Here is a 12428-nt window from a genome sequence, read left to right on the forward strand (position 1 = left end):
TTGAAACTCTGTATAAGATGGAAAAGAGAATTAATGCCTCTTAAAGTGTTTAATTTTAGAGGACTATCATTATTAAATAGTACTCCTTCTATAATTTTTTGATTGTTGAGTACAGGCATGACAAGAATTTATAAAGATACTTCTGATTGATAACATAGGGTATAAACAGAAAGTTCTCTTAAATAGGAAGGTGTATATGTTTGGAAATTGGACTTGTCTCTTTTGCTTAGACGTGTGTATAAATTAATGCAAGATATTTGTCTATATCTCAACTCCGGGTCTCCCTCCTGCATATCCAACTACTTACTAGACACATTCCCTTGAATGCCCCGTAGGTACTTTATTTCAACATATTCAAAATAAAACTCATCATCTCAGCCTTCTCCTGCTCACCCACCTTGGCCCTTTACTACTGTTTCCTCATTCTTTTTTCTATTAATCATCGTTAAGCCAGTTTCCAAAATCAGGCATCTAGGTATCAACCTTGGATTCTGCCATCACTGATGCCACATACCCTAATAGGCCACTTCTGGTAAATTTCCTAAATCCACTCACTTTCAGCAACCCACTATTGCCCATCTACAGGGGACCACTATCATTCTACCACTTGACTCTTTCAACATTCTGCTAACAAGCCTTCTTGTAGCCCTTCACTCTTTTGCCTCCTTCAAGCCATCACCACGAGAGGGATCCAAGACTCAACTCTCCTTTTTTTTCATTTCTATACCAAAACCATTCTTTGGGTTTCTGTTCTTAGGATGAACTCCTCAACATGGTGTGTAAGATTCTATATACTCTGATCTTGACCCTGCTTACTACTCTCGCTGATGTGAAGCCTCCTGTTCCTATTATCTCTGAGAACACCCAACCCTGCTTGGTGGCAGCAAGGGACAGAAAAAGCACTTGAGGCAGCAGGCTGTCAGATTTGCTAATAGTGCAACCCAACTCATAAAAACCACCAAGTCCAAGACAAGGCCTCTTTTTGTGAAGTAACAATAACAAGTAGAACAGACATTTAGTCAGTTTTCACTGGCTGTAACTGTACTAGTGAGAGAAAGCCCTGCTCCACAGTTTCTTGCATCACTACACTCTGGGAAGCCCCAGTACTTTACCATGCAAGTGTAGCCCCACATCATCTCACTCTTTGCCGTGAGTTTAAATTCCTCCAACTCTATCCAAGGGTCCACGTTCCCCTATCCCTGGATGCCATGTGTTTCATTGACATGAGTTTTCCTCCTATTAAGCATGGAGGGGTCTTATAAGTGGCGCTGTGAGGACAGATGCTTGCACTTTGTCTTGACCTCTGCTTCAGCAAGTGTATTGTAGCTACATCCTTAGCTCACTTTGGTTTTAGTCTCAAGATCATCCCAGTCCCCTCCTCTATATTTGGTTCATGGTTTCATATACTGTTAACCAGGAATGCTAAAAATATTAATTTGGTGCATTATATTTATGCGAACACTTGAGATGTTTCAAGCATGCAGGACCACCTGCAGAATCTCTGGAAGGGTTTATTTCCTATGCACACAATTAGCCCAAAATCTTTTTAATACAATAGATTTTTTTATGATACTATTTGTTACTTACCTTTTACCATTTTCCTTATCCCACCTATGGCTCCAAGCAGACTAAATTTCTCTCAGGTTCTTATTTTTGTTGTGCTCTCTGTCTTAGTATTTTCAGGCTGCTATAACAAAATATACCATGAACTGAGTGGCTTATAAACAATAGAAATGTATGTCTCACAGTTCTGGAGGCTGGGAAGTCCAAGATCAAGGCAGTGGCAGATTTGATGTCAGGTGAAGACCTGTTTCCTGGTTCATGGATGGGGGCTTCTCACTATGTCCTCACATAGTGGAAGGGGCAAAGCAGCTCTCTGGAGCCTCTTTCATTCATAAGGGTACTAATCCCATTCACGAGGACTCTGCCATTACAACCCAATCACCTCCCAAAGGCCTCACCTCATAACCTTATCACATGGGTGATTAGGTTTCAATATGTGGATCTGAGGGGGACAAAACATTCAGATCACAGCAGTTTCTTTCAAGACTTTTACACACAGGTTGCCTCCAGATCACAAGGCTCTTACCCCTCTTTTGTTCTTGGCTACTTTATAACATCCACTTAGACCTCACTTCCTTCAGGACACCTAGGTTAGACCTTTGCCTGTGTGCTTCCCTAGCACCTTCCACTCCCTTCACATAGCACCTAACACACTCTGTTGGGTTTCTCTGAGGTATGTAAGCTCTGTAACCGCAGGGTTCCTGTCTTTCTTGTTCATCCTTGCATCTTCAAAGCCTGCCGCATTACCTGGCCCAGAGCAAGTACTTAATGATCATTTGTTAATGAATGAATAAATAGATTTTTCCATTAATCATCTAATCAGTGAATTTACAATTCTATGCAATTCTTTGATGCTCTAAGAAATTGAAGTTTTATTTTCTGAAGTTATATATTAGTTTTATTTCCTAAGGAATTTGATTTATCCTTACTTTAAATCATAACTACCCAGTGGTTATTATAGCTATGCTGCCATATGGTAAAACACATGAAGCATCTAATATTGCCTTAAGAAAGCTGTTTCACAGTAAAAACTCTTCAGGCCCTTCTCTCGGCACTTTTCATTTTATGTTGAAATTATTGGTGTTTGTATCTCTCTTACCTGTAAGACATTAGGTGCCTCAAAGGCAGTGACCATGTGTTATTCAACTTTGTATCCTCACAACCTTGTATCTAGTGCAGTGTTGGAAGTCAGTAAATGTTTATATAAATGCTTAAGATAGGCCAGAATCCACATCTTGGCTCAAAAACTGTATAACTGCCAACACCCATCTCTGTACTTACACTCCCAAAGCCTCAGTTTCTACATCTGTAAAAATGGGGATTCTGCTGTTTAAAGGATCATCTTGCAGGGTTGTTATGAAGTATTACATAAAATATAATGTAAATAAGGAACTCAGCATAGTGACTGAAATATAGGAATTATGAATAAGCTAGGATGGGGATAAATCTAAGTTTCTTTGTGAAGACATATGGTGTGTCAAAATGTTAATTTTTCACTGTCACAGGCTGGCAAGACACGGTCTTAGATCTAGTAAAATTGTTGCAAAAAGAAAGCAAAGAGGCAAACTTCCCAACTTTTATATTAAGAATATTTGTCTGAAATATAAAACAAAGTGAGAAATTCAATGCAAATAAAATACACTACAGGAAAATTTATAGAGTGCTCAAATGGATGAGTTGCATAATTTGTCTTATGAATATTTACTAAAAGCAAAATAAATTGGACAAATAATATTCTTGGACTGTAAATCATTGAAAATGATATATACAGTTGGAGAAAAGGACAAGAAAATCATAGCAGGACCTACTCTTTCCTAATTACAACTCCATAGAGTTGTCTATAGTGTGCTTGTTTTTCATTAATTTTGTGATTATCCTTCCCTTTTCTTTGAAATAACAATAAGAAAACACCAAGGAAAAAGGTTCTGTAGTCATAATATGCTTAGGAAAGTCAAGATGTTAACATTCACATTCTAGGACTGGGAAACAAATTTTAAGGAAAAATAACTTTACCCTTAAGCCTTAAGCCTCAGGTCTCCCAGTGTAACATGTTTCAATTTGCTGAGACTAAGGTGTTTGGCTGGATTGTTTGCTGTTGTCTGATAGAGTTCATCTTAAAGTAGTTTCTATTCTTGTATGGGTTTGTCTGACAATTTTCATATCATTTAGTGAGAATTTGTATTTTTTTCAATTGTTGCCTATTCCTCTGTAATTATTGTAATTGCATCTTATTATATAATTTGCGTAAATATATGCAATCATGGAATTAGAAAACGCGGGTGGTGATATGCAGTGTCACAACTGCAGTGGTTAAAGATGTGTGATTTTTTTAATCTTTGAAAAAAATAAAAGCGAAGTAAATATTGTAATTTCAGGGGAAAGCGTTTTAGCTGTCTAAAACTGATTGCCCAGAGAAATCAACCAAACATTTTTATTTAGACATAGATAAGAGGTTTCATGTTTTTGACTGTTCTAACTCAGAGATTTGGAAATCTTGGTTTTAAAATATCAGTTTGATGACTGCTCAAACACTTATAAAGTTTCAATATTAACTTTAAACTATAAAATACTGAGGATCGTATGCTTCTAATGATACCTTTTCTGTAGGTTGTTATCAATGTGAGTTTGAATAAGCATTTATTAATACTGTGAATAAGATGCATATTATCAATATTAACGTCTGCATCCATACAGTTGGAGGTATTTATGTTGATGTAGACAAAGACACAGACAGTGGAAATTTATATGCCTTTCAAAATCCCAGTGACTATAAAATTCTGCTCCTCTGACTATACATTAGGTAAATGGTATATTTAAATAAGTGGTCAAGGCAAAAAAAAAAAGAGCATAATTCAAGTTCAGCACCCACTGCAATTGTAGATGATAAAAATGAGGCATTCATCAAGCTAACCCTTTCGCCTCTAGAATTTCATGTGCACTGAGAGAAAAGTCCATTGATCTACATTCAGCTCTTAAAAACTGCACTTGCTGTTAGAAGACAGAACATACACTCAGGAAAAACTTCAGGCTGATACTGCTAAGATTTTAACACATTTATAAAACTTCCCATCAATACCTAATTTATTGAGAGTTTTTAGCATGAAGTGTTGTTGAATTTTGTCAAAGGCCTTTTCTGCATCTATTGAGATAATCATGTGGTTTTTGTCTTTGGTTCTGTTTATATGCTGGATTACATTTATTGATTTGCGTATATTGACCCAGGCTTGCATCCCAGGGATGAAGCCCACTTGATCATGGTGGATAAGCTTTTTGATGTGCTGCTGGATTTGGTTTGCCAGTATTTTATTGAGGATTTTTGCATCAATGTTCATCAAGGATATTGGTCTAAAATTCTCTTTTTTGGTTGTGTCTCTGCCCGGCTTTGCTATCAGGATGATGCTGGCCTCATAAAATGAGTTAGGAAGGATTCTCTCTTTTTCTATTGATTGGAATAGTTTCAGAAGAAATGGTACCAGTTCCTCCTTGTACCTCTGGTAGAATTCGGCTGTGAATCCATCTGGTCCTGGACTCTTTTTGGTTGGTAAGCTATTGATTATTGCCACAATTTCAGATCCTGTTATTGGTCTATTCAGAGATTCAACTTCTTCCTGGTTTAGTCTTGGGAGAGGGTATGTGTTGAGGAATTTATCCATTTCTTCTAGATTTTCTAGTTTATTTGCATAGAGGTGTTTGTAGTATTCTCTGATGGTAGTTTGTATTGCTGTGGGATCGGTGGTTTGATTGCGTCTATTTGATTCTTCTCTCTTTTTTTCTTTATTAGTCTTGCTAGCGGTCTATCAATTCTGTTGCTCCTTTCAAAAAACCAGCTCCTGGATTCATTAATTTTTTGAAGGGCTTTTTACGTCTCTATTTCCTTCAGTTCTGCTCTGATTTTAGTCATTTCTTGCCTTCTGCTAGCTTTTGAATGTGTTCGCCCTTGCTTTTCTAGTTCTTATAATTGTGATGTTCAGGTGTCAATTTTGGATCTTTCCTGCTTTCTCTTGTGGGCAGTTAGTGCTATAAATTTCCCTCTACACACTGTTTTGAATGTGTCCCAGAGATTCTGGTATGTTGTGTCTTTGTTCTCGTTGGTTTCAGAGAACATCTTTATTTCTGCCTTCATTTCGTTATGTACCCAGTAGTCATTCAGGAGCAGGTTGTTCAGTTTCCATGTACTTGAGTGGTTTTGAGTGAGTTTCTTAATCCTGAGTTCTAGTTTGATTGCACTGTGGTCTGAGAGACAGTTTGTTATAATTTCTGTTCTTTTACATTTGCTGAGGGGAGCTTTACTTCCAACTATGTGGTCAATTTTGGAATAGGTATGGTGTGGTGCTGAAAAAAATGTATATTCTGTTGATTTGGGGTGGAGAGTTCTGTAGATGTCTATTAGGTCTGCTTGGTGCAGAGCTGAGTTCAATTCCTGGGTATCCTTGTTAACTTTCTGTCTCGTTGATCTGTCTAATGTTACAGTGGGGTGTTAAAGTCTCCCATTATTATTGTGTGGGAGTCTAAGTCTCTTTGTAGGTCACTCAGGACTTGCTTTATGAATCTGGGTGTTCCTGTATTGGGTGCATATATATTTAGGATAGTTAGCTCTTCTTGTTGAATTGATCCCTTTACCATTATGTAATGGCCTTCTTTGTCTCTTTTGATCTTTGTTGGTTTAAAGTCTGTTTTATCAGAGACTAGGATTGCAACCCCTGCCTTTTTTTGTTTTCCATTTGCTGGTAGATCTTCCATCCTTTTATTTTGAGCCTATGTGTGTCTGCACATGAGATGGGTTTCCTGAATACAGCACACTGATGGCTCTTGACTCTTTATCCAATTTGCCAGTCTGTGTCTTTTAATTGGAGCATTTAGTCCATTTACATTTAAAGTTAATATTGTTATGTGTGAATTTGATCCTGTCATTATGATGTTAGCTGGTTATTTTGCTCATTAGTTGATGCAGTTTCTTCCTAGTCTCCATGGTCTTTACATTTTGGCATGATTTTGCAGCGGCTGGTACCGTTTGTTCCTTTCCATGTTTAGTGCCTCCTTCAGGAGCTCTTTTAGGGCAGGCCTGGTGGTGACAAAATCTCTCAGCATTTGCTTGTCTGTAAAGGATTTTATTTCTCCTTCACTTATGAAGCTTAGTTTGGCTGGATATGAAATTCTGGGTTGAAAATTCTTTTCTTTAAGAATGTTGAATATTGGCCCCCACTCTCTTCTGGCTTGTAGAGTTTCTGCCAAGAGATCTGCTGTTAGTCTGATGGGCTTCTCTTTGTGGGTAACCCGACCTTTCTCTCTGGCTGCCCTTAACATTTTTTCCTTCATTTCAACTTTGGTGAATCTGACTATTATGTGTCTTGGAGTTGCTCTTCTCAAGGAGTATCTTTGTGGCGTTCTCTGTATTTCCTGAATCTGAATGTTGGCCTGCCTTGCTAGATTCGGGAAGTTCTCCTGGATAATACCCTGCAGAGTGTTTTCCAACTTGGTTCCATTCTCCCCGTCACTTTCAGGTAAACCAATCAGATGCAGATTTGGTCTTTTCACATAGTCTCATGTTTCTTGGAGGCTTTGTTCATTTCTTCTTATTCTTTTTTCTCTAAACTTCCCTTCTCGCTTCATTTCATTCATTTCATCTTCCATCACTGATACCATTTCTTCCAGTTGATGGCATCGGCTCCAAACCCACAGGCAATATCATACTGAATGGGCAAAAACTGGAAGCATTCCCTTTGAAAACTGGCACAAGACAGGGATGCCCTCTCTCACCACTCCTTTTCAACATAGTGTTGGAAGTTCTGGCCAGGGCAATTAGGCAAGAGAAGGAAACAAAGGGTATTCAATTAGGAAAAGAGGAAGTCAAATTGTCCCTGTTTGCAGACGACATGATTGTATATTTAGAAAACCCCATTGTCTCAGCCCAAAATCTCCTTAAACTGATAAGCAACTTCAGCAAAGTCTCAGGAAACAAAATCAATGTACAAAAATCACAAGCATTCTTATACACCAATAACAGACAGAGAGCCAAATCATGAGTGAACTCCCATTCACAATTGCTTCAAAGAGAATAAAATACTTAGGAATCCAACTTACAAGGGACATGAAGGACCTCTTCAAGGAGAACTACAAACCACTGCTCAATGAAATCAAAGAGGATACAAACAAATGGAAGAACATTCCATGCTCATGGGTAGGAAGAATCAATATCGTGAAAAATGGCCATACTGCCCAAGGTAATTTACAGATTCAATGCCATCCCCATCAAGCTACCAATGACTTTCTTCACAGAATTGGAAAAAACTACTTTAAAGTTCATGTGGAACCAAAAAAGAGCCCGCATCGCCAAGTCAATCCTAAGCCAAAAGAACAAAGCTGGAGGCATCACGCTACCTGACTTCAAACTCTACTACAAGGCTACAGTAACCAAAACAGCATGGTACTGGTACCAAAACAGAGATATAGATCAATGGAACACAACAGAGCCCTCAGAAATAACACTGCATATCTACAACTATCTGATCTTTGACAAACCTGAGAAAAACAAGCAATGCGGAAAGGATTCCCTATTTAATAAATGGTGCTGGGAAAACAGGCTAGCCATATGTAGACAGCTGAAACTGGATCCCTTCCTTACACCTTATACAAAAATTAATTCAAGATGGATTAAAGACTTAAATGTTAGACCTAAAACCATAAAAACCCTAGAAGAAAACCTAGGCATTACCATTCAGGACATAGGCATGGGCAAGGACTTCATGACTAAAACACCAAAAGCAATGGCAACAAAAGCCAAAATTGACAAATGGGATCTAATTAAACTCAAGAACTTCTGCACAGCAAAAGAAACTACCATCAGAGTGAACAGGCAACCTACAAAATGGGAGAAAATTTTTGCAACCTACTCATCTGACAAAGGGCTAATATCCAGAATCTACAATGAACTCAAACAAATTTACAAGAAAAAAACAAACAACCCCATCAAAAAGTGGGCAAAGGATATGAACAGACACTTCTCAAAAGAAGACATTTATGCAGCCAAAAGACACATGAAAAAAATGCTCATCATCACTGGCCATCAGAGAAATGCAAATCAAAACCACAATGAGATACCATCTCACACCAGTTAGAATGGCAATCATTAAAAAGTCAGGAAACAACAGGTGCTGGAGAGGATGTGGAGAAATAGGAACACTTTTACACTGTTGGTGGGACTGTAAACTAGTTCAACCATCGTGGAAGTCAGTGTGGCGATTCCTCAGGGATCTAGAACTAGAAATACCATTTGACCCAGCCATCCCATTACTGGGTATATACCCAAAGGACTATAAATCATGCTGCCATAAAGACACATGCACACGTATGTTTATTGCGGCACTATTCACAATAGCAAAGACTTCGAACCAACCCAAATGTCCAATGATGATAGACTGGATTAAGAAAATCTGGCATATATACACCATGGAATACTACGCAGCCATAAAAAATGATGAGTTCCTGTCCTTTGTAGGGACATGGATGAAACTGGAAATCATCATTCTCAGTAAACTATCACAAGGACAAAAAACCAAACACCGCATGTTCTCACTCATAGATGGGAATTGAACAATGAGAACACATGGACACAGGAAGGGGAACATCGCACTCGGGGGACTGTTGTGGGGTGAGGGGAGGGGGGAGGGATAGCATTAGGAGATATACCTAATGCTAAATGACGAGTTAATGGGTGCTGCACACCAGCATGGCACATGTATACATAGGTAAGTAACCTGCACATTGTGCACATGTACCCAAAAACTTAAAGTACAATAATAATAAATTAAAAAAAGAATGAAAAATAACAAAAAAAAAACAAAAAAACAAAAAACTTCCTTGGATAATAATAATAATAATTTTTTTCTATTTGAGAATTTGGAATGTTAACAGAAAACATGTTTTCTACCAAAATAAAGGTAACAGTGATCTGGCCATCTGCATTTTAAAAAAAAAAAACTCATTGAAATACTCCTGTAGAATAGATTGCTCACTTTTCCTTGCTTTTGTAGTTCATAGTTTTTAGGAAAAAAGTATCTTTTACCTTTAAACCAAGAAGGGTATCCAAATTTTGATTGAAAGCACTCCTGTACCTCGGTTCTCTTAAGTGTTTCTGAGACATGAGTTTGCAGGTAGGAAGCTGGTACGGATGACACAACTGGGACAGACTGGACTAAGCCAGCCTCATCCAGCTACATGCAGCTGCTTCGCCTTTGTCTCCAAAGGACTCATCCCTTGTTCCACATTTTGAAAACAACCATGCATTTACAAAGAAATTCTCAATCTTCTTGTTTTCTCTTTAATTCTCTTTAAAGGAAGGAAAAAAATTCTGTATGCCCTATTCAAGTGCTATACATTGGTCTTAGGGACTGGAACTGAAAACTTTTATGATCAAAAAATTTTCTCCTCCAGTTGCCATTCTGTTCTAAATTTTACTTTATTTTTTGATGTAGGAATGTTTCTTTAAACATCAAGATTTTAGTTTCCAGTAGAAAACTAATGAATTATTAAAGGATGGGAACTTGAAGCAATCTTTAGTGCTTAATAAGGAGAAACCACAAGGCTTGAATAAACTGTTCCATATTTCTCTTTTAATGCTCCGTTTAAAATCTAGACGGTGTGTCATAAGCCTTTTAAAAAAAAACGATTGTGTTTACCAATATAGAATATGAGATTTTTGTTTCTTTTTAGGTATTTTTCTTGCAATTAGGATATACTTTGATGTTACCATGGCTATGGCTTCACGTTCCAAACAATGAGTTTTTTCTTATGTTTGATTAAACCAAAATAATGTTAGTATAATTTCCCTGTAAATTATTATTTGTTGACAATCAGTGTTAATGCCACTAAAAATTGAGTATAAATATCAACAAAGTACATTGGTAAATGATTAACAGGACAAATGAAAAGAAAAATAGAAATTCTAAATAGAATTGCTATACTTCTCCAGAATTCATTCCTCCTAGAATAACTCCCTCAGGGTGAATGAAAAGTCAGGTGGGCAAAGCTGTGAGCTCCACCTCCTTCAACTATACAAATTTTGATTTGGTAAAGGAAATTTTGACCTCATTATTTCACCCTGCTTTGAACCAAGTTTTTATGCACCTACTTTATTATTGCTCTTTGCATGTACATTAAAACAAATATTTTATTTTGACTTTAACCTAGAATGAGCACTACAGTTATAAGCAATTGACACAAGATAAGTCTAAAAGAACCAAAAAAACATAGAGTAAGATTCGTGATAGACAAAAAGTGACTTGCTGGCAATATTAAACATTGCTAAACTCAAGCAACGAAAAATTAGGCTAAATATTGTCAACAGTGTCAAAATGTTCTCCATTCATAATCTATTATTGATCTACGATAACTAATAAATCTGTACACTGTGATTCATGTTTTTGGAAAATTGAACTCCCAACTTACACACAATATTCCAGTTGCCTCTGAGGAATGAGGTTATAAATAATTTAAAATTTTGATGTCTTGTTTTTCTTTAATAGAAAATTTATTGCCTAGGTATAGTAGTGTATTAGGGTTCTCCAGGAATCAAAAACAATAGGCATTATAAATAAATAAATATATAAAAATATATATTTATATTTGTATGTGTGTATTTATTATAAATAATTGGCTTATGTGATTATGAGGCTAAGAAGTCCTAAGAGCTATAGTCTCCAGGCTGGAGACCCAGGCAAGCCAGTGGTATAAGTTCTGATACAAAGGCTAGTAGGCTGAAGACCCAAGAAGAGTCTTGAAGTTTTTCAGTTTGAGTCCAAAGGCAGGAAAAGACCCATGTCCCAGCTCAACAGTCAGTAGTAGGTGCTCCCTCTTACTGGGACTTTTGGTGCTATTCAGGTCTTCAACTGATTGGATGGGGCCCACTCACATTAGGGAGCAGAGTAAGCTTTACTCATTCTACCAGTTCAGATGGTTGTCTCATCCAGAAACACCCAGAATAATGTTTGACCAAATGTCTGGGCACTCCATGGCCAAGTCAATTTGACACATAAGTTAACTGTCCCACTAGGTAACATATGAAGAATTGTTTTAAAAAAAGTTATTCAGCTGGGTAGAAATTACCATCTGTCTAGAAAATAGAGTTGGAGAAGAGAATGAAGCTGATAATGTGCCTGAAATCTTTTTTCTGGCTTCTATTCCAGTCTGAGAGTCAGGAAAAGAAGAGATCTCTAATAAAATGCTTCTAATGTTTGGGTCATTTTTACCACAACATCAGTAATGGAAGAGAAAGTCAAAAGAATGAGGCTCCAGGCCAGGCGCAGTGACTCACACCTGTAATCCCAACACTTTGGGAGGCCAAGGCAGGCGGATCACAAGGTCAAAAGATTGAGACCATCCTGGCTAACATGGTAAAACCCCGTCTCTAATAAAAATACAAAAATTAGCTGGGCATGGTGCCACATGCCTGTAGTCTCAGCTACTCAGGAGGCTGAGGCAGGAGAATCGCTTGAACCCCGGGGGCAGAGCTTGCAGTGAGCCGAGATCACACCACTGCACTCCAGCCTAGTGACAGAGTGAGACTCCATCTCAAAAAAAAAAAAAAAAAAAAAGAATGAGGCTCCAAGATGAGCACCTGAGCACCAAGCAGTCCTCATCCTTCTCACTGCTTTGGAGTTTGCCAGATTTGGGTACTTTGATCCCTAGGGAATAAACACTCCTTAGCTGGACAGCAACACAAATAACTCTTAAATGAACTGCGTCTGTTACACACACACAGGCACGCATAGAGTTTCAATGGGGTTTATTGAAATAAAGTGGCCTCTACACTGAAGAATTGTAAGGACTGTATTCTATCCATTTCCTGTTTACTTCTCCATTTATTTGTA

At 37.6% G+C, this 12428-nt stretch overlaps 1 protein-coding gene across 3 annotated transcripts in view; it reads left to right on the forward strand.

Annotated features, from left to right (window-relative positions):
• ST6GALNAC5 (ST6 N-acetylgalactosaminide alpha-2,6-sialyltransferase 5) overlaps window positions 1-12428 on the forward strand; it is a 200067-nt gene that overhangs the window by 39006 nt on the left and 148633 nt on the right. The gene's annotated exons all lie outside the window — the stretch shown is intronic.

Source organism: Homo sapiens, chromosome 1 (assembly GCF_000001405.40).
Source record: "Homo sapiens chromosome 1, GRCh38.p14 Primary Assembly".
Lineage (NCBI taxonomy): Eukaryota > Metazoa > Chordata > Mammalia > Primates > Hominidae > Homo > Homo sapiens.